Source organism: Homo sapiens, chromosome 2 (assembly GCF_000001405.40).
Source record: "Homo sapiens chromosome 2, GRCh38.p14 Primary Assembly".
Lineage (NCBI taxonomy): Eukaryota > Metazoa > Chordata > Mammalia > Primates > Hominidae > Homo > Homo sapiens.
In genome coordinates this window covers 141,240,332-141,262,864 of record NC_000002.12, presented here as the reverse complement: position 1 = coordinate 141,262,864, position 22,533 = coordinate 141,240,332, and the positions used below count along the sequence as shown (strand labels likewise).

Below are 22,533 nucleotides of genomic sequence, written 5' to 3'. Positions count from 1 at the left end.
TCTAAAAATATAAAAGAACAAGGCATAAAAATTTATGCTACCAGATTTCAAGATTTGCTGTCATCAAAATAGCATAATTTATAGAAAGGACAGACATACAGATTAACGAAACATAAGGGTACAAAAATATACCCATGGATACTTGGTCAATTCATTTTTGACAAAGGTACAAAGATAATTCAACAGAGAAATGTTAGTAATCTCACTAAATGGTACTGGAACAATTTAACATTTGTGTACAAAATGATGAACCTTCAGTCATAGATTTTACCATTTATGGAAATTAAACAAAAATAAACTACAAATCTAAAACTTAAAATTTCTAGAAGAAGTATAGGCTAAATTGAGTCAGTAATGGATTTCTTAGAACTCCCGAAGCAGGATTTATGACAGAATATATTGAGATTTGATTTTATGAAATGTAAGATTTTTTTCTTTGAAATTGTGTTATTTGAAAAGCAGTAATAAGAGAATGCAAAGAGAAACTATAGGCTAGGAGAAACGATATACAAATCATATATCTCGTAACAAACTTGTATCCAGAATACATATACACGCTCACACATGCACGCACACACACACACACACTCCGTCTCGCTCTCTCTCTTTCAGAGCTCAATAATAAGAAAACAACCTAATAACAGTCGGCAGAAGATTGAACAGAATTTCTCTGCAGATAACATATATGACTAGCTAATAAGCACAATGAAAAAATCAATAATAATTAGAAAATGCAAATCAAAATAATTGTACAATAGCTACCACTACATATATACTCAAATGACTAAAAAATAAAATTAAATTAAAAGCTGAAAATACCAACTGCTGGGAAGAAGGTAGAGTAGCTGGAAGATTGATATATTGGTGGTAGGATTATAAAAGAATGCAGCCATTTTGAAAAATAGTTTGGTAATTTATTATAAAGTAAAACATCCACTTACCACATAACCCAGAAATCCCATATTTACCCAAATAAAATAATAACCTATATTTACACAAAATCTGTATGTAAATATTTATAGAGACTTAATGCATAGTAACTCCAAACTGGAAACAACTCAAATGTGTGTTACTTGTGAAATGAATGAACAAAGTGAGGTATGTTTATACCATGGATTATTACTCAGTAACCAAAAAGGGAGAACTACCTAATACTAACAATAATATAGATGAACTACCTAATACTAACAATAATATAGATGAATCTCAAATACATTATGCTAAGTAAAAGATGTCAGACTCAAAATACTAAATACTAGATGATTTCATTTATATGACATACTGGAAAAGACAAAACCATTGAGATAAAAACCAATCAGTGATCACCAAAATTGTCAGCAGGGCAATGGGTTGACTGTAGAGGTGCAAAGGGGGTATTTTGGGGTAATGATCCTGTTCTGTATCTTATGAATGGTATTGGTTAGACAACAATACACATTTATCAAAACTTGCAGCATTGTACGTGAGAAAGAATGAATTTTGCTGAATTTAAAATATGGACTTCATTAAAATACCAAAAATAGAAAAAAATGCAATAAAAAAGCATTGCCTCGCTGCTCTATCTTCTTGTAAGAGAACACACTGAAACTTTGAGGCCAGTAAGTAGTCTAGCACTAAGACAAGGAAATTCTGAAGAAATTCATGTAAGCAGTCATAAGCAACGGCCTGATCTCTGCAAACCAGCTCACACTGCATTTTACTAGGCCAAAGAAACAGGGGTAAGAGGATGAATGATGTGACACAAATTATCACCATTCTAAATATGTCAAGCATATGTCCTGCTGACAAGAGGAGCTGTCTGGCATGGTAAGTAGCTGTGTCAGCTTTTCAATCTTCAAGCATAAAAAACAGTGAGGTACTTGTTTTTTTAATGTGCCACATAGGGAAAGAATAATTTTTTCCTCATTACTATGGTTCTAGTTGTTGGATAAAAGGCATTTTTGCACACACCTAATTTAAGAAGCAATTTTATTACTAAAATTGAGAATGAAATATCATCCCATTTTGTAAAATGATATCGCAGATAATTTATGTATATGGAAAGGTGCTTATACCATTCTGTATTTCCAAAGAATTTCTAAAAGTTCTAATTTACTCTCCAAAACATAACCTGGAAGCATACAAATAAAATAGCTCAGCCATGTTCTCACTGTCTTGCTAAATCCAATACATGATCAATGTGAGTTATTTGACTATAGGTCACAAAGGCAGCAGCATAATGCTATTGACTATACAATGGTTGATCCGATAGCTATACACAAAAGATAGCAAACAGTGGTTGTTTGGCTTAGAGCTATTTATGTAAACAAAACTAATGAGGAAAAAAGACCTCTATTGGTAATAACTCGTAATGTTTGGAAACTGCCAACTTCTAATCACCTTTCTCTATTGTCCTGTTTTCACTCTAAGGAAGGTCAGCATGATTTATTTACATGTGTTTCCTAAATCATATACTCGCATACATTTGTGAAAAGGTGTCCTAAATCCCAATGATGTTACAAAGCAAAACAGCCCCTAAAAGCTATGCAAATTAGTATATTTCATAAAAATTATTTGTCTAAATTGTAAATTGGCCCATGGTTATGTAGCAAATTCAATGTGGATGTACATTGCTTCCGAGGGTGATATTTGTATTTTATAGATACAAAGAGATCAATGTAGAAAATCCTTATTTCTTATGATTAGTGTTTCACTATCTGTTGGAGATTTTGCTTTCAGGTGAAAAATTTGAGAGAACTTACCAAACAAACAAATGAAAAACTTCTCCAGGAGACATCAAGAGATGACAAAACTACAACCGAGTCATGTCACACCCAAAAATAAAAGCATAAAAGAGAAAACGCTTCTAATGTAAAAATAAACAGCACCAAATTGCTTATAGTGTATATACGATATGGCAGGATAACAATAGAAATTCTGTTATACTAAATGGATGATTCAGCTTAAATGATAAACTGATAAAAAATGATTATGATAATAAAAATAGTTACTATGTGTCAGCAATATTTTAAGAACTTTGTATCACTTACCTCATTTAAGACTCCCAACAAGCTTATGAGGTAGTTTCTATTATTATCCCCATTTTAGAGATGAGGCAAAGCATGTAATGAGAGCTTTAGTCATGTACCCATCATCACTCATATGTAACAAATAACCTTGATATCTCAAGGACTCAATACAACAATAATCCAATTTTTCGCTGATATCACAGTCCAGTTGGGTTATCAGTGGTTGACTTCCCAGGTGCTGTTTCAGGCTCTTTCCATTGTGGGCTTGTGCCATCCCAAAGGGTGAGAAGTCTGCTGGATTCCCTGCACCCAGATGGCTGACAAGTGTACAGAGAGGAGAAGATTGTCAGGATGCTGTAAGCATCAGGTCAAGGAGTGGCACACACCAATTACTCTCTACGTTATATTGGCTAGAAGACAAAAATACGGTTCCAATCTAACTGGAAGACAACTGGGGAATGTCATCTTTTTATTTCCCTAGAAAGAGGAAACAAGATTGATGCACACTTAAATATTCTCTGCCACACTCATATAGCCTGAAATTACTGAAACAGTTGGAGGTAAAGCACTCTTGTTGCAGAGACAAAGGCCTCAACACAATACTCTACCACCATTCAGAAAACAAGATAAGTGGTGAAAGAAATTTCAGTTTTACTCTGAATTAATTTTTATCCTTTTAGACTCCCTCTTACTATTTATTAATAATACAAAGATATCTATTTTTTGACTATTTCTAAATCAAATGGCCTAGAAGTCTTGATGTCTCAAAGCTACCCATTACTTGTAAACTGTTACCTTGAATTTGATAGAGAAGGTGTATTCATAGTTTAATAATACTCTCTTTTGCAACTTTTCCTCCTTTACAACTGTGCTAAGGGCTGTATTAGTCCATTCTCACATTGCAATAAAGAACTACCTGAGACTGGGTAATTTATAAAGAAAAAGGTTGAATTGGCTCACAGTTCTGCAGGCTGTACAGGAAGAATGGCTGAGGGGGCCTCAGGAAACTTACAATCGTGGTGGAAGCCAAAAAGAAAGGAGGCACGTCTTACATGGCCAGAGCAGGAGGAAGAGAGAGTGAAGGGGCAAGTTCTACACACTTTCAAACAATCAGATCTCATGAGAACTCACTTATTATCATGAGAACAGCAAGAGAAAAACCTGCCCCCAAGTCCAATCACCTCCCTCCAGGTTTCTACCCCAACATTGGGGATTACAATTCAACATGAGATTTGGGTGGGAACACAGAGCCAAATCATATCAAGGTCATAAAAAGATACCTTAAAAACAGAACAAAGTGGATCTGTGTCAGGGGAATCTTCACGAATTGGATTAGATTTGATTTGTGAAATGATATCTTCTCTCTTTTTATTTATTTATTTATTTTTGAGGCGGAGTCTCAACTGTTGCCAGGTTGGAGTGCAGTGGCACTATCCTCTGCCTCCTGGGTTCAAGCGATTCTCCTGCCTCAACCTCCCGAGTAGCTGGGACTACAGGCACACACCACCACGCCCAGCTAACTTTTTTGTGTTTTTAGTAGAGATGGGGATTCACCATGTTGGGCAGAATGGTCTCCATCTCTTGACCTTGTGATCCACCTGCCTTGGCCTCCCAAAGTGCTAGGATTATAAGTGTGAGCCACCACTTCCAGCGACAGCTTCTCTCTTCTAATCAAAAGGATAGTTTTATTTTATAATGGTGAGGAATATGGATCAGACACCGTGTTTACATGTCTGTGTTCTCACTTGCATATTTGCTTCCCTGAGATACAAGTGGTCTTCCTACTTCAGTCTAAGTTCCAAACCAATGATAATGTTACATAAGCCAATGGCTATGCTTGACGAAAGTCACTGGGTGAAGACTAATGATTCAAGTACAAAATTTTTTGTTGTACTCAAATAAGTTTTCTAACAAAATTAATCTGATATGCTTTTAACTATATTTATAGTCATTATAGCATTGCATGCAACTAAGCATAAATGCTAAGCAGTTCAAATAGATAACTCTAATAATTAGTATTGCTTTCACAGTCTGCCAAATTTTAAATTTTAGTATTCATATTGTTAGTTCTTCATGGTTCTTCACGATCTGTTAGCAGAATCAATATTTACCATTTCACCTAATATCCTAAACTGTTTAATCATCTCGTGTCATCACTCTGCACATATACAAATCCTCACGCAGGATAAGTCTAATAAACTAAAAGCTAACTTGACCTTCTATATTTTGCTATTTTCAACTAACAGATCTCCTCCTAACACTCAGAACCATGTTTGAGGTCTGGTCTTTCAGATTAATTTTTCCCGCATTTTGTATTTCTCCTCAACTTTCCATATCACTAACCCCCTCTTTTCAGTGTTCACTCTCCATCTTCCAGAAACGTCAAGTAGAGAGAGTAGAAAGATGGGATCCATAGTATTTGGATTTTCTACTTTGGATTGACACAGTGAAAAGGTGCAGCTGGGCTCCAGGGATTACATGGAAAAATAATAAATTTGACTCACTGAGTGAATACACCTGCATTAAGGTAGAGACTACATGAATTAGATCAAATCTCTACCCTCATTCTTTTCATAGTATAACTGAATCTATTTTCTGTGAGAAACCTTTCCTGCTTCCTCTTTCTGTTCCAACCCCTAATTACATTCACCTTTGTCTTCACTGCTCCACTCTAATGCTTTTTAACACCCTCAATCGATCCTATTAGGAAGCCTAGTGCACTTTACAGGCTTCATCCATGTTTATTTCTCAATGAATTTAACATTGATTTCCCTGCTTGCCTCTATAGACTACTCTTCTTCCTTAGGTTTTGTGAGACTTTCTAGGTTCTTCACTTATGTACTTTATTATTTTGCAGTTTTTCTTGGTGGTAGTTCTTATCGCTGATACCTCTTCTCTTTGATTTTCACATGAAGAGGTTCTACGGGTGTTTTTATTTGTAACCCAAGTATTCTTCTTAAGGGAATGCTTCTTTACTTTTTAGGTTTCAATGACCGACTTTATGCTTGTGACTTCCAAATTGATATCTCCACTACAGACTTCTCTTCAAAGATAGACCCAAATTCTCACTTTCTCCCTGGCTATTATGTTGTCAATATTTTAAGCTAAACATAATCAAAGACAAACAATATTTTCTTCCCAAACTCGTAGTACTTCTGTTGTACTTAATTCATTTTATTAGTACTACTCATTTAGTGTCATTATGCTTTCACCAAGTGTTTGGCCATCTTTCTAGGCAAAGATTCATAGTCTTCATTTAGCATTTTGCCATTCCTAGTCACTTAGATAGCTTTTCTTCCTTTACTATCTTTCTCTCTACTGTTAGGTACTTTTGAACAATACAAGTCAGAATGTATCACTACTGTCCTCAATAACCAGCTATGTCTCCTGTTGCCTAAACAGAAAATTCTACTTAATCCGTGAATTAATTCACCTTGACCTGGCTCCAAACAGCAATTCCAGTCTCGCTCTCATTTTTTTTTTTAACTACATCAAGCATTATAGGTTAGCAATGCAGCGTTCGTTATTGTTGCCTGTGTTTCTTGCATGCTTTCAGGTCTTTCTATTTACTTTCTCATATTGTCCTCTTTACCTAGGCTACATTCTCATTAATTTTGTCTATCCAAACTCTCATACTTTTAAGTCCCAACTCAAATTCAACTTCTTCTACAACTGTTTCTCAGATATCTTCCTGCATATTCAGCTTCTAGATGAATCTTTCTACATCCTACCACTTGTACTTTTATTTAGCATATGTGTTTTGCTACTATGATTTATAAACATTGTTTTATATTGTTGTTCTGTCCACTTAATACCACTCACTTCCACACTCATATTGTAATTTTTTTAATGAATTTTGCATCTGTGGAACTGTAGCAGCGTGATTAGCATTGACTATGTGCTCAATAAATATCACATTACAATAGCTTATAGACTCAAGCCAATTTTGAACTGATTCTATGAACATAAAGTGTAGCACTGCTGAAGTGATATCCTTGACTAGGTGAGAGGGGATGGGATTTTTACATATGATGTTGGGTTGGAGCTTTGATTACGAATTCAACTAACTGTGAAATCCAAGGAGAAGCAGTATACGCAGATGTGGATAGAAATGGAGTATAAATCTGGAAAATCTCTTCTGATTGCTTCAGTTTTCTCAAAGAAGTAAGAAGCAGGATCATCATATATGACAGAATATTAGGAAAGAGGTTTGCAGTTTTAAGAAGTGAAGATGTGTGAAATAATTGTATGAGAATGCTGAACAGTAATTGAACTAAGGATATACTATAGATAACTACATTTATAATACAATACCCAATGTTCAGTTTGGAATGTTTCAGGTGTTCTTTTACATATTGGGCTTTTATTTTTTAATTATAATTTGATTTTATTTCTGTAGCACCAGCTAAACTCTTGGCAAATATCAATGTATTTTGAATCATTTAACTTTGATCTTCAAAACCCTTATTTGCCTTTCTGGGGAAAAGAGTAAAAACAACAGTATCATAGCAATCTATTTATACCCCTATTTTCAGACAGTCATGCTTCTATCCAATATTTATCTAGTTTAGCGAATCTTATTTCTGTTAGCGATTGTTTGTGCAATAAATGTGCTCCTGTCACTTCATCTCTATTTCATGCTTTTATCATATTCAATCCTAATTTGCTCTGAAGGTTTGCTAACTTTTGCTTTAATCATGTCTTTTCTCAAATAGTTCAGATATAATGAAATATATTACATTCAGTATTTCTCTAATATTTTTCTACCAAAGAAAAATAAAATATTGAGATGAGATATATTCACATTGATTGCTATGAAGGTTACACATGGATTAGTAAATCAAAACAAGCTCTCAAAAGCTAGAAAATCAATTGATGTGTCAGATAGGAAAGACATAGATGGCAAAATCAACCGCTGAGTTGACATCTTTCCTCTTGAAATAATTTAATTTACCAAATTTGAAAGGTTTTGTGACTATGAACACAGTAATAAGCTAAAAAGCGGGAGACCAAACAGATTGATCTCGAATTTTATTTACAATAATTCAAGCAAATGTAAACTAACATATTTTAGGTAAATATTTTTTTCTAGACCAATCATATAAACTTTCTGGGAGAACAATCAAGACTATAGTGTAAGGATTGTACACTGAGAAATACAAACTATTTACATATACAGTTAAATATAGAGAATATATTTGTTTTTTCTCTACAGAACTGTTATCCAATTGCCAACAGCTGAATTGTCAGTATAAATGTACAATGGTCAGAAATAGTACAAGATGTTACTGTGAGGATGGATTCGAAATAACAGAAGATGGGAGAAGCTGTAAAGGTAAGTAAAACATATAACGCCATCAAATTTTGTTTATAGAGGCTTAGTTAACAGAAATGTAAGCAGACATCTTTGAGCACCTACCATGTGCTCTACAGTGTTTATGTTAACTTTTCTTTCTTGAGATTTAAAAGTTGCCCCCCCAACAAAAACATAAACATTATTATAAGTTTATGACTCTCAAATTTCAATTTTTTTGCAGTAATTTCAAACTTGGGAAATGTCAACAATCGGAAATGTTTGGGTTAACCACTAACACATTGATCTAATTATTTTAACTTCCTATATGTTGTATGGCTGTTATATAGCTGCAGTCTAGTAGACATGTGTTATTAACTACGTTAGGTTAATAATTGCTAATCATGTAATGTTCTTTATAATTTTTGCATTGGTTATTCTGGCAGCTGGCATTTTAACCATAGCAATAATAATGTAATAATGAACATAAATATTGATTTATTTTAAATGTCTGGATTCTTGCTTTTGTGAATGCTTTATAGCAAATATTTATCCTCCAAAATGACTCCCTTCATGAATTCTGAAGAATTTTAGGTTACCTTTCCATTCACTTGATTCCAATTATACATATATTAATATGTATATATAACATATCCACAAAGTTAAATGCATTGCTTTGTATGATACTTAGAATCTATCTATATCTACATATAATATTTCTAATCTATAATATAGCACGTCTCTCTCTCTCTGCCTCTCTCTTTCCTTCCGCGTGTGTGAGTGTGTGTGTGTGTATTCAGGGGATTGCTGCATTGCCAGAGCCACTAATAAATAGAATAGTTTCCAAAGAAATTAGTGCTTTGCTGATTACTTCAAATCTTTGCTCCAATATTATCACTTTTACCTTAGAATCTTAAATTTGAAAAAATTCATGAGATAATTGTTTAAAATCTTAATGACAAAAATGAGATCCTGATAGTTCATTGACTTAAGTCCACACATCTTCTTAGTAATAGAATTGGGACTGAAACTCATGTCTGCAGAGCCCACTTAGTCTTATCCTGAAGAGGCTCATTGACTTTTCAGTTACATTTGGGAATTGAATTTTAGTTTGTTGTTTGCTTTGTGTATAATACCAATTTTATAAAAAAACATTTATTATCAAGTGTTTATCAGACCCAGAGACTGCATAATCTGACCACAGGGAGGCCAAACTCTCATATTTATTTGACTCATGTCATTATGTCATTTTAAGACAACATTTGAAAATCAGAAAATTGCACACAAAAGTTCAGATGTTCTGGAAAATAAGGGCAACGGTAGATGCCTCATAATCACAGAAATCAGCCAGATAAAAATGGTGCCAGACATGGATGATGCCATTGAACATTCGTGCTCTTTCCACTTCCAAACAGCCCTTGCCATTCGTACGTGTTTGGCTTAGATACCTATTCTGCATTCTTCTCACTCATTTACTACACCTGACTCCTGTAGTAATCAAGCTCTGCAGTTCCTTTTGCAAGGGTGCAGCTGAGTTAAATACGTAGATTCCTGAGTGTTAATTAATTGCTTTTATGTGTTTAATTAAGCACGTAAAAACAAACACAACAGTAATTAATTTCTTCTGTGGAACATTAGTGAAGAATTGCACAGCAATCATTTTAGAAGTCACAGTGGGAGAGGAGATCTTTGTACTTTCTCTATACTCCTTGAGAGCCAAGTCTGAGCATCATTAGGCTTTCTCAAAACTGTATTTCCAGGTAGCCCTCTGTCTTTAAAGGAGAAAAGAAGGCAGCATTGCAAGTGATGGTATGCCTATTCCTTTGTAGTCAATGTTGTGGAGTTCCACCTCAGTGCATTCTGGCTAAGTAGAAAGAAGAAAAGAGATAATCGATCATATTGCTCTCCTGAACAGCATAATCATATCCAAAAAACTGAAATAGAAACCAATAATATTAAAGTTGAAAAATCTGTGAAAATAGATAAGAATTATTACTGCCATCAGGGACAGACTTTACCAAATGCAAGCCTTAATTTCATTCAGTATTACTGTAGACTTAGCTCCAAACGCTGTATTTTTTCTATCACCAAAAGCATTTACTTCAAATGAGCCATCCATGATTGCTGGCTGTTATGTGACTCTGAAGAAACCTGAGTTTATGAATGCCTTACAAATGCAGAGTTTCACAATTTAAATTGTCTTATGCTACTCAGCAATATTTTTGCTTTCTCATGGTAAGCTCTTTTCTTAGTTTGGATATTCGCAGAAGTCAACTCTGAAACAAGGATTCACTGAATGTTTTCCTTTATTTGCCATTGTAGCTTTCTCTTTTTCTTTTCTTTCCTTTTTTTTTTTAGGGGGTGGGGGGTGGTGGGGGTGAGAGGATACAGGAGAAAGGCAACCCCATAGTTGGAGCAATTAAGCCAGCTACAACAAAGGGTGACTGAAGCTTAAGTGTGTGGCACAGCTCTCTAGCATGAGAGACAAGGGAACTCAGGCATTTATACACCCATTTCTGAAGAGCAAATTTGTTTTTGTTTTTGTGTTGGAGATGACTTTACCCTCCTGGAAACTGGTGGGAGAGGAAGAAGGGTTTGGAAGTATGCTCAGGCACAGATAAAGATCCCTATGATTGTAGAATCACATGAACACTCTGAGGGATATGAGCAGACAGCTTCTGCTACAGTGCCCTTGACCATTCCTTTCAATTTCTTCTTTATTCTCTCAAAATATGTTTTCTTAATCTATTCTCTTTTGTTGTAGTCACTGCCTTTATTTTCTGGGTGCCATCTTGTGTTACTTCCTCAAATTACTCTTTCTCTTCTCACTATTTACTTGTATATCCACCCATGCTTGTTTTGCTGTCATTTCAGAAGAACTTTACTTCTTCTAGTCTTTTTTCATACATATTTAAAGTCCCACTCACCCAAACTTTTGTCTCAACTTGGTCCATTGGTCTATCAATTTCTACCTCTTTCTTATATACCTTTAAGCACTACATTTCCACTGGCTATCACCGTAGTCAATAAATATTCTCACATTTGTTTTATGCTGAAAGAAAACAAAAACAAAACTAGAAATACTCACAACAAATATCCACTTTATATCCTATCTCTTCCTATAGCCATCATTCCCATCCCCTCCTCCTTTATTATCCACAAACTTTAACAATCAACTACATTTACTTTCCCAATTATCTTATTTTCACTTCATTCCTCCATTTACTGCTATCTGGTTTCTCATCCTATAATTTTCATAAAGAACTTTAAATATCTCTTTTCCCTTAAAGTCTAGTTAAGACTGGTTAAAACACTCACTTTTATTTTCAAAGGACTGTTAGAGGCTTCTCAGCATATCTGCAGTTTTTCAGAGCTTCTATATTCTTTATGATCTTGACTCCAAACTCCATCTTCCTATTTATGTATCATTTTGAGATTATATATGGATTTTCTCCACCCCATACCCCTCAACCCAGAAGTAAAACTCAGCTCTTTTCCTAGAGTTTCCACAATTATAAAATCCATGCAAACAAGACAATTTGTATATGTAGTAAGTTTTACTGAAGACTTAGTAGGAAAATGTTTTATATCACAACACACAAATAATTTCAAATGTAATTTTAGACATCCCTATATTGAAACCCTTATGTTACCCCTCCGCTGGGGATTTTTTAACATGCCAGTTGAGGTTTCTTTATTGTCATATCACTCTGATAACAATTGGGTGGTATTTTTCCACATAAATTATCTAATTCTCTAATACTAACTGGGTGTCCAACAGTTCAATTCAACCCAATTCTGACATTATCCAGAGGTAGCGTAGACTGCATGGGTTAAGGACCTAGTACTGCAAGACTCAGGTACCAGATGCAAGTTCCAGGACTCACCTATACCTCTGAACCAACCAGTTATAAATGTGAGCATTCCTACAGCCCTCTCCTCAGATGTAGTCATTCACTATAACCACTCACAGAACTCAAGGAAATATTTTCCTTATGTTTGTTAGTTTATTATAAAGGATGCAACAGCCAAATGGAAGTGATGCATAGGGCAAGGAACGGGAAGGTGGGAGAGGGAAGCTTCTATGCCCTCTCTAGGCACCTTATCCTCCCAGGGGCTCAATGTCTTCACCAAAATGGAAGCTCTCCAAGCCTGTTTGTTCAAGAGTTATTTTTTAGCCCAACCCCCAGTCCCCTTTCTTCTCACTGGAGGTCAGGAGATGGGGCTGAAAGTTTCCACACTCTAATCCACTGTTTGGTATTTTCATGACCAGCCCCCAGTCTGAGACTACCTAGGGGCCCCACCCTGAGTCACCTCATTAGCATAGGCTCAGGTGTATTCTAGAGGAGCTCTTTATGAACACCAAAAGACAATCCTATTACTCAAAAAATTCCAAGTATTTTAGGAGCTCTGTGCCAAGCACTGTGAACAAAGGCCAAAGATATATTTTAATTATGTCACATCAGTTTAACCCACTTAATACCACAGCTTCAATCCATCCTGTTATCTTTTGCTCCCCTCTTCATTTTTCTGTTTCTTTTTTTCTCACCCCCTTTCTCCAGAATTATTTACAGGAGTCCCAAATTATCTTCAGTCATCATTCCCAAGTCATGAGGACAAAACTCTGTTAATAGGTCTAAGTTTGTGTATTTTATCCCATTTAAGGACTCAGTAAAAAGCAAGTTCCATTTAAGATCAGTCTTCCATTTGTGACTATGTCCCCTTCTTTCCCTACATTACATCAACATCAGTACAATAATGTCCTAATTACTGAATCTAAATGGGAATTTTAATCTTTATCTTATTGGATTCATGCATTGCATATAACCCTTTTGAACATTCTGATATCCCAGAAGAGCTCTCATTTCTTATTTTTTTCTTACAGTAGTCATGAATTTTCCTTCACAGGCGACTGTAGGACTCCTCTTTCTTTCTTTCTTTCTGTTTTATTATTATTATTTTTATTTTATTTTGAGACAGAGCCTTATCACCCAGGCTGGAGTGCAGTGTGCAATCTCGACTCACTGCAACCTCCACCTCCTAGGTTCAAGCAATTCTCATGCCTCAGCTGCCTGAGTAGCTGGGACAACAAGTGTACACCACCATGCCTGGCTAATTTTTGTATTTTTAGTGGAGAAAGGGCTTCGCCATGTTGGCCATGCTGATCGCAAACTTCTGGCCTCAAGTAATCTGCCCGCCTTGGCCTACCAAAGTGCTAGGAATACAGGCCTGAGCCACTGCGTCCCACCCTGATTCCTCTTTCTTGACTGCCCTTTCCACTTTGGTATCCTAGAGTATTTTGCACTAGCTAAATTTTTTTCATCTCCTCTTCCTCTGTGAGAAATATCCCTCTCCTATTTTTAAAATCTATTATATATATGCTATTGACTTCCATATACTCTAGAACAGATCTCACCCTATATTAACAGTTCCATTTTTCAATTGCTTATCATTACACATTTACTCAAGGCTGCCCTACAGACACCTCAAATTTAACACAGTGAAATCAAATTCGTTATCTCCTCCCATGATAGAGCCATTCAAATCTATACTTCTTACATCCTCTATTTCAAAATTCAATCAATTTTCACTTCTGTCACATCCAATCATTTTTCAAATGTTGTCTATTCTACTTCTTACACATTTGAGTCTATTTCCTCTTCATTTCCACTGCCACTGACTTAGTTCAAAATATAACTTCAAAAGACAATTTCTTGGATAAAATTAGCACATATCTAATTTTCTAGGATCCTTTCTCCACATTTACCAAAGCCTTTATTTCATATGAGTGTTTTTAGTTTTAAAATGCAAAGCTGACCATGTAGCCCATCTAATTAATGCTTTCCCAATGCCAATGTGTAATGTACAGTCTTTTAGTTCAGCATACAAATATCTTCATTATCTGGCTCCCAAAGTACTTTCCCAGTTTCATCTCTTCTGCCGCTTTCCTTCACACACCCTTGCTTCATTTGACTCCTTATGCTTCTTCTTTGAAATCCCCATGATGCCATCCCAATACCGTTCGCATGCCATTTTGATGAACTGAAATGTCCCTTTCTGCTTAGTCTGAGGAAAGCCAGATCACGCTTCACACTGTTTAATACGAAGTCTTCACTTAAGATTCCCCTTCTAATCCTAAGCAGTTTGACTTCCCTGTTTCTATCATAACTCGAGTATACCCCTATTATAAGGAAATGTATAGTATCATAATTATATTTCTCTAGACTCGTCTTACTCAGGGGTAGGGACCATATTTTATTGATTTTGTCTTCTGCAGGGATCAGTACAGTGCTTCGTACATAAAACAGGCTGAATATACCTTTGTCTAAATAACTAACTACTGACAGGATGCCTTTTTGTTTGGTCAGTTAAGAATCATTGAGTATCTGTTGTTCATAAAGATTTGAACTGGATACCAGAGGAAGGAAGTATATAGAGAAAACAGAATGAAGGGGTAGAGGAATAGAATGAAGGGGTACAGGCACACACCATTGTGCCTGGCTAATTTTTGCATTTTTAGTAGAGACAGGGTCTCACCATGTTGGCCAGGCTGGTCTCAAACTCCTGGCCTCAGGTGATTCACCCACCAAGGCCTCCCAAAGTGCTGGGATTACAGGCATGAGCCGCAGTGCCCAGCCTATTACAGGAAGTTTCTAATTAGCAATCTAATTTAATTTAATATCTGTAGAGGACTACAGATATTAAAATGAAATTTATTTAAGACAAAATCTTTATTTTTCAATAGGTGTGCTTAATAGTTTCCTCTCTTTAAAGTAGTGAGTGTGATTTGCATAGTGTGGCTCAGAACTCTTATTTAATCTGTTGATTGAAAACCATGTTACTAGTCGAATTCTTTGTTAAAACAGTGAAAAAGTCAGTGTCATAAACACTGGAAATATTCAACAAATATTAATTGGAGTGCATTTTGTACCTTTGCAAAAATATCCAAAGACTTCTAGCCTGACTATCACAAATGCAAATAATCTTCTTTTAAAATACATGATTTGATATTGTTTGATGTTTTATCTCTGTAAATATTAAGGCAGCAATAATTTTAATTTTTAGTTAGTGTGGTTTTGAAAAGACTTATTGGAATTGGCTTTTCCTTAATAGTCTATTTCCGAAGTTCAAAAATAATATTTTCTTCAAGGAGAAAAAAAAGTGCCCAAGATAAAGCTGCTTAGAAATGATGCCAATTTTCCTTTTTAGATCAAGATGAATGTGCTGTTTATGGTACATGCAGCCAGACCTGCAGAAACACACATGGATCCTACACTTGCAGTTGTGTGGAAGGCTACCTAATGCAGCCAGACAACAGATCTTGCAAGGCTAAAATTGGTAAGTTATGACCATTTATTTTTTGTCTTTCCAGAATTACTTGTTTCCTTTTTACAATTCTTTTTCATTAGAGATGTGGTATAGCAGAAATATGGACTTTGAAGAGAGAGATTTGCTTTCATTTTAATACACTTCTCTATAGTTAGGAATCCAGAGCAATTCTTTCAGTTGTCACTAATCATTATAAAACTCCTTCCATTACTCCTTCCAAAAATGAAATTCCTTCCTTCCTTCCTTCCTTTCTTTTTTTTCTTTGAGATGGAGTCTCACTCTGTCACCCAGTCTGGAGCTGGAGTGCAATGGCACAATCTCAGCTCACTTCAACCTCTGCCTCCCAGGTTCAGGCAATTCTCCTGCCTCAGCCTCCCAAGTAGCTGGGACTACAGGCACACACCACCATACCTGGCTAATTTTTGCATTTTTAGTAGAGACAGGGTCTCACCATGTTGGCCAGGCTGGTCTCAAACTCCTGGCCTCAGGCGATTCACCCACCAAGGCCTCCCAAAGTGCTGGGATTATAGGCATGAGCCGCAGTGCCCAGCCTATTGCAGGAAGTTTCTAATTAGCAAAAATCTGTTCAAAAGATATGGATTAATTGATTTGAATTACCTATCCTCTCTCCTGGACTACTATGATAGTTTCCTAACTGGGTTCTGTGAGCTTCTGCTTCACCTCCAAAATTAATTATTTATATAATAAAGTGATTTACTACTAAAACATAAACCAAATCGTGTTGTTCTTTTGCTTCAAATCTCCCAATAACTTTCACCTACCTTGAAAATAAAATCTAAACTCCTCACAGGATCTCTAAGGGCCTAATGGCCTGGTATCATTTCCCTTTCCAGTGTCTGATCTTCCACTGCTCTTGTTTCATCATCAATGCCAGCACACTTGTGTCCTTGTCCTTCTTCAACCATGTTGCCTTTTTATCTGCCTCTAATGATTTTTCCTGTGATATTCACATTAATGTAGCCTTCTTATCACTTGAGTCTCAGCTAAAATGTCAATATTCAGAGTGACCTTCCCAATCCATTCTATTTCATGGTATATACCCTCTACATCACCAAGTTATTTTCCAGTGTTATTTATGCATACCTACTCTATCACTATATAATTTCCCAGTTTTATTTTCTTTATAGCATTGCCATTTGAAATTAATTCATTTATATATATTTATCACAGGATTTCTCCAGAATAATATAAGCATTATGACGGTACAGAACTTGTTGGATTTGTTTACTGTTATTTACTCAGTACTGATCATTGCCTAGAACATATAGGTTCTCAATAAATATTTGTGGAAAAAAGAGGAAGAAGGAAGAAAGGAGGGCAGGATGGAAAAAAGGAAAAGGAAAGAGAGAATAAACTTGTCTTGCTAATTAAAATTACTAAAATGAGTGCTCCACTCTTAAGTGCTTGCATTTCATGTTTCAAAACTGCCTTTTACTGCTAACCTGCAAATAAACCCTGTAGTTTCTACACAGTTTTCAGCCTACTGAGTAAGAAAACAATCAGTAAGTATTGTTGATTGGCTAATGAAATAGCTTTGAGATTCACTAGTCACAATAAGATAATGCTAATTATTTTGTGGAGTGAATTAGCTTGAAAATAACATAAGGAAATACTATACAGAATATTCCATCTGGCTTCTTCTAACTTCCTCCAAAGGTAGTTTCATATCAGGCATTTTCAAATTATGATGTATTGATGAATTAATGGGTGCCCTCACCCTCCCTTATGAGAAAGTGGTAAATTAAGCATGAAATTTCTTCTCTGAAACCACACTGGGCAAAAGACTAGACTAGCTAAGCAAGCTTCAGTTGTTTCTCTTTACACATGACCTCATGTTATGATTTCAATGATTTCCCAGAGATAGTGTGGTTAATTATTTAGAAAACATATGTATCTACAAAATATCAACAACAGCTAAACACTCTTTTACTTCTTAGTTTACTTCTTTGAATTACTGACTTGATTTATGAAGTCCTATTTGAAATAAGGCAATCCTTGAGAAAAATTAGGTCAGGTTATGTTTTCCTTTTTGCCACCACTCAGAGTTCTGATGTAAAATATTGATGAACTATAGAAGTGGAAGGCTTGTTATTTGCTGTTTCTATTGAGCCACACACTAGTGCTACACAGAGAGTGTAATCTAATAGACCCTATAAAGGAAGCACGTCCTCTTTTTCTACATAGGTAGGTTATCTTACAATAATAGAATGCAACCAGAAAAAGATGGAACATGATAATGTCCTACTACATCAAGGAAGTTTGATGACTCTAGAATTGATAATGGAATACATAAATCTCTTCACCTCTAGGTCTTTTGCTTGATGACATTGTGAGCTTACAAAATTTGAAAAATATGCAGTTACCATGGGAATGTTGTTGTGGTTTATAGTTTAAGGAAAATGAGTTGCTAGAATGAGCATAAGTCTATAACAAACACTGGCAAGTTCTAAAGGTCACATGGATATTTGAACCAATGTATTTGTACAATTTAAGAGAAAAACTGCCTGTTTAGCTTTAGTTTTCTCATATTTATGGGAAGTGAACCAGAGGATACTTTTGGCTTCAGTTATATGTAATTCCAGTTAGTGCAATCAGGTTTAAAATTTTTAAGGTAGTTTTGTTATACAGTAATGTGGCTATATCTGACAAGTGCTAGAAACAAGCATTATAAATTGAGCCAGGTTCATCTTAAGTCTCTGCCAGTCCTTCTTTCAGTTGCCTGGCTGCTGAGATTGGCCTCTCTTTTCTCTTCTTTTCCTTACAATTCTACCCTACTGGACTCCAGAACCTAACTTTCCCTCCACGACAAGCCAGAGTTCCAGGGCTCTCAGCAGCTGGGTAGTGTGGAAAACAAGGGAAGGCCCGAATGGCCTAGCCCAAGACAATGGATATGTGGAAAAGATCTCCAGGCTTTAGAAAGAAAGGATACTATAAAAATATCAAGCCAAAGTGATGCAATGGAAAGCTAGAACTAGACCAAGAATATGATTTTGCAAAGACAGTACAAGATGATAGATGAATTAAAAGTTCCTGAGAAATAGCCCTTTATGTGACGGCAGAGAGAGGCAGAGTTAATCAGCTGGGAAGCTGCCTCTAAAGGTGCTGAACTAGTGCAACATAGAACAGTATCATGATCTCTTCCCTACTATTCACCCCAAAGCTTGCCAGTGGGGTCTTATTTTCAAGACAATAGATAGCAATTAGGTAAATTAATCTAAGTTAATTGATTATTCCTCCTTTGTAATATAATACCTGAACCCGAGTAAAATTCATAAGCCTTAAGAGCATCTTTAAGAAATAATTGTATTGAAGGGAGGAGATTTTAGACACTACAGCAGATGGGGGAAGAGATTAATGTTAGACAGGAGGCCTTTTCATTCCTATTAATTCATGTAATGCAGACAAATTTTCTCCTTTCTACGCTTAGTAAGATTGTCTCTGACTAATGAAATAAAGAATACATTGTTTCAGAGTTGGGAGGAACTTCAATGGTAATCTAGTGCAATTTAATACTTGATACTATGTGTTTTTTATCTTCAAAAAAGTAATTTCCAAAAGAAAAGTCTGAAACATATTTTTTAAAGTAATTTTAATTTAAGTATGCATAGTTGAATAGTTTTTTATAGGAGACATACAAGACTACAAATTTTTATGAGAGCATTTGTTACTTTATGATAGAACACACATTAAAAGCTAGTAATTAATGTTTATTTATTTATTTATTTTCTTTAAGAGATGTAGTCTCACACTATTGCTCAGGCTGGAGTACAGTAGCATGATCATAGCTCACTGCAGCCGCAAACTTCTAGGCTTAAGCCATTTTTCTACCTCAGCCTTTGAGTATCTGAGACCACAGGCACGAACCACCATGCCCAGCTAATTTAAAAATTTTTTGTACACACAGGATCTCTCTCTGTTGCCCAGGCTGGTCTTGAACTCCTGGCCTCAAACAATCCTCCTGCCATACCCTACCAAAGTGCTGAGATCACATATGTGAGCCACGACACCTACACAAAAGCTAGCTATTTTTCTAATTAAATGTTAGAACTTGTCATATGAAAAAAAAAATAAAAATAATAATAAATAAAAATAAAAAATAACCATGTATAGGTACCCAGTAAAACTTCTTGCACATTTTGATATATTTTTTGAGAGTAGAGTTGTAGTAATGACTTGTCAAATATGAAAATAAAAACATTTTTAAAATTTGACTTTCTTTTAATTGATTTTATTGAATTTGATATAAAAATATGTATTGAATGTGAAAACTTGGGGCTGAAAGCAGGCTCATGTAGAACTTGTGACAGTAAAAATAATAGTCAATGGTGTTTAACTTACAAATTGTTGGCAATTTTACTCCTAATAAATTCAGACTCATTGGACTGTACTTTTCAGTGTCCTAACCACTCACTGAAGGCAGGCACTTATCCCAGCATACAAATTCTCCTGAACCCCTAGGGCTCTACTGATTGCACTGAAGCAATAGTAAAATAAAAAACACTAATTTTATGATCATCACTCTATTGTCAGTGCATCGAATGGTGCCCTTTGAGAGTGTACCTCTTTGCCGCGGAGTAATTGGAGCAGTGAGAGTAGAGAGCCTATTAAAAAACTTCAGGATTCTATTACAGCTTATATTTGCAGTTCATTGATTTAGAGAAAAAAACAAACAGAAGACTATTGAGGCAATGAGACTCTTAGTTGTAAGAACAGGAATTGTAGTCCCTGTATAATTGAAGGAAGCATGTTTCTAGACAGTGTTGGGGTCAGGGAACGTTTTCATATCATTTGCTGTTTCCTCTGCTATGATTCTTGAAAAGAGAGAGAGAGAAAAAAATAAACAAAATGTAACTTCCTATGGCTCTTACTTTAAAACTCTAGGGGGATTTAACATCTACTAACATAAGTTTAAAATTTTCTTTTGGGAGGCGGAGAATTTACCCATGGTTTGCTGCTAGGGCTGATTCTGCCTGTGGGAGAATTGGCAGGTGTCTGTGTAGTGGGGGAAGAATTCTCTGCCACATAGTATCACCTTCTTATCAGCCACTGAGTAATGCCTGAAATTCAGCTATTAAAATACTATTCCCTGGCCTTTTATTAAAGCATCTCATATTAAGATCTATTCTTAGGAAGGGTAACATATTAAGTCTTAATAATTTTAACAACTTATGAGACTAGTGGATAAGATCTGTTTCAGTATACCAGTGGCTAAGAATGGCTTCTTGTAGAATGACTGATGTATGAAGATTCACCATTTAGGGTTTTTTTTTTTACATTATTTTTTAGATAGTCAAAAATTCTAATTCCTGCATAAGTTATTATTTCATTGAGCCGTAACTTCAAATAGCACTTGATGACATGATAGTGCGTGAGACCTATTGGCTAGGAGTGAGCCTAGTCACCAGCACCAGCATAGTAATGACAGATTTATTGTGCTTTACTATCACGTATGCGTGCATGAAATTAGGAACACTGTGGTAAAGAGAAAGTAGCAAAAAAGTAGCTCAATGCCTGAAGCAGAGTATGTGCTTGACAAATGTTTGCCGGATGCTTTAGCAATTTCTAGAACATTCAGGAAGCGAAATGAGGGTACTGGGATGTTGGGGATCAATAAAAGGAGTCAGAAGACTGCAAGAGATTCAAAGGTGAATAGAATATTTGGCCAGTTTTGTCCTGTTACTCCGGGCTGACTCTAGCTTTGGTATAGTATTGGCATCAAACAGTAGTTTGAGAAGCACTGTATGATCTACATAAGTGTGTCCTCTCCACCAAGGACCACTCCCCTCTCAAATAAACATACAATCCTAGTAAAAGCTGTGTGCTTGCTGTGAAAATACAGCTGGAGAACAAGCTTCCCTATCTGCAATCACACTATACTGAATAAGCCTCTGTACTACAGAAATTCTAAAGCTTCCCAGCCTGCCTTTGGAATCCCGGACCGGTAGCCTGGCCATTAAAATATTTCTTTATTTTATGGAGTATTTTTACTCTACATCTTTTCTGGCCAATCATTCAGTTAGAAATCACATTTCATGGCAGGACAGGGCAAGGATTTCTGATGGAATTTTTACTATCCAAATGATACAACACACTTTTTTTCCCTCTCCAAACACTGTTAATGAGTATGTCAGTGCTGGGGTACAAAATCTCCTCATGAATATTCTATGTTGGTTTTGGTTTTTGTTTTTATGCTAGGGGATATCATCTTCACAGTCTAGCACCGTTTTTGACATTTTTAATCTTCTTTCCAGAAACAGAGTTGCAAGATTGATAGCAGAGACATAACCATGGTGTTTTATGTGTCATGACACCTTTCATTTACCCTTAGTCTAAGAAAATATGAGACATGGAAAAAAAGCATGTCTTCCATTTTCTTCATAACATATTTTTATTGCAATCTGGCTGAGAACTTCCGTGTTTGAGTATGAAAAATTACGTGGCCATATTTATGGGCTCTAGGTGTGACAGTCAATAAACTTTGCTTTTATAAATGGCACAACAGATAGGCAGAAATTTCTATCATGTTTTTTTAATAACTTTGTGTAGACTAGCTATCAAATTATTGATTAAATCCTCAATTTAGAATGTGAGAGAAATTATATCACCCTCTACAATTAACTCTTTTTCTATCTTAAAATTGGATATTTTAATGAAAATAAAAAGAAAGGGAGCACATTTAAATTTATAAAAATTACAAATGGTTAAATAGATGAGGCAAGAATGTACATAGGTATATAATTTTTCTGTTGCTTTACCTGGGAAAAATATAAAAGTATATCACTATTGAAATCCTCGGAGGGAAAAAACCTTAAAATCCGAGTAGACAGAATAATTTTGACATTTTTTAAGAAAAAAAAATTGATTTTTCAGAGACTTCAAGGC

General features: G+C 35.5%; 1 protein-coding gene across 3 annotated transcripts in view; it reads left to right on the top strand.

The window, feature by feature from the left end:
- LRP1B (LDL receptor related protein 1B) overlaps positions 1-22,533 on the top strand; it is a 1,899,594-nt gene that overhangs the window by 868,152 nt on the left and 1,008,909 nt on the right. For all 3 annotated transcript variants that reach the window (NM_018557.3, XM_017004341.2, XM_047444771.1), the window contains exons 4-5: positions 8,224-8,343; positions 15,511-15,639. In NM_018557.3, the coding sequence (NP_061027.2) occupies positions 8,224-8,343; positions 15,511-15,639 (249 nt within the window). The remainder of the gene's footprint in view (positions 1-8,223; positions 8,344-15,510; positions 15,640-22,533) is intronic.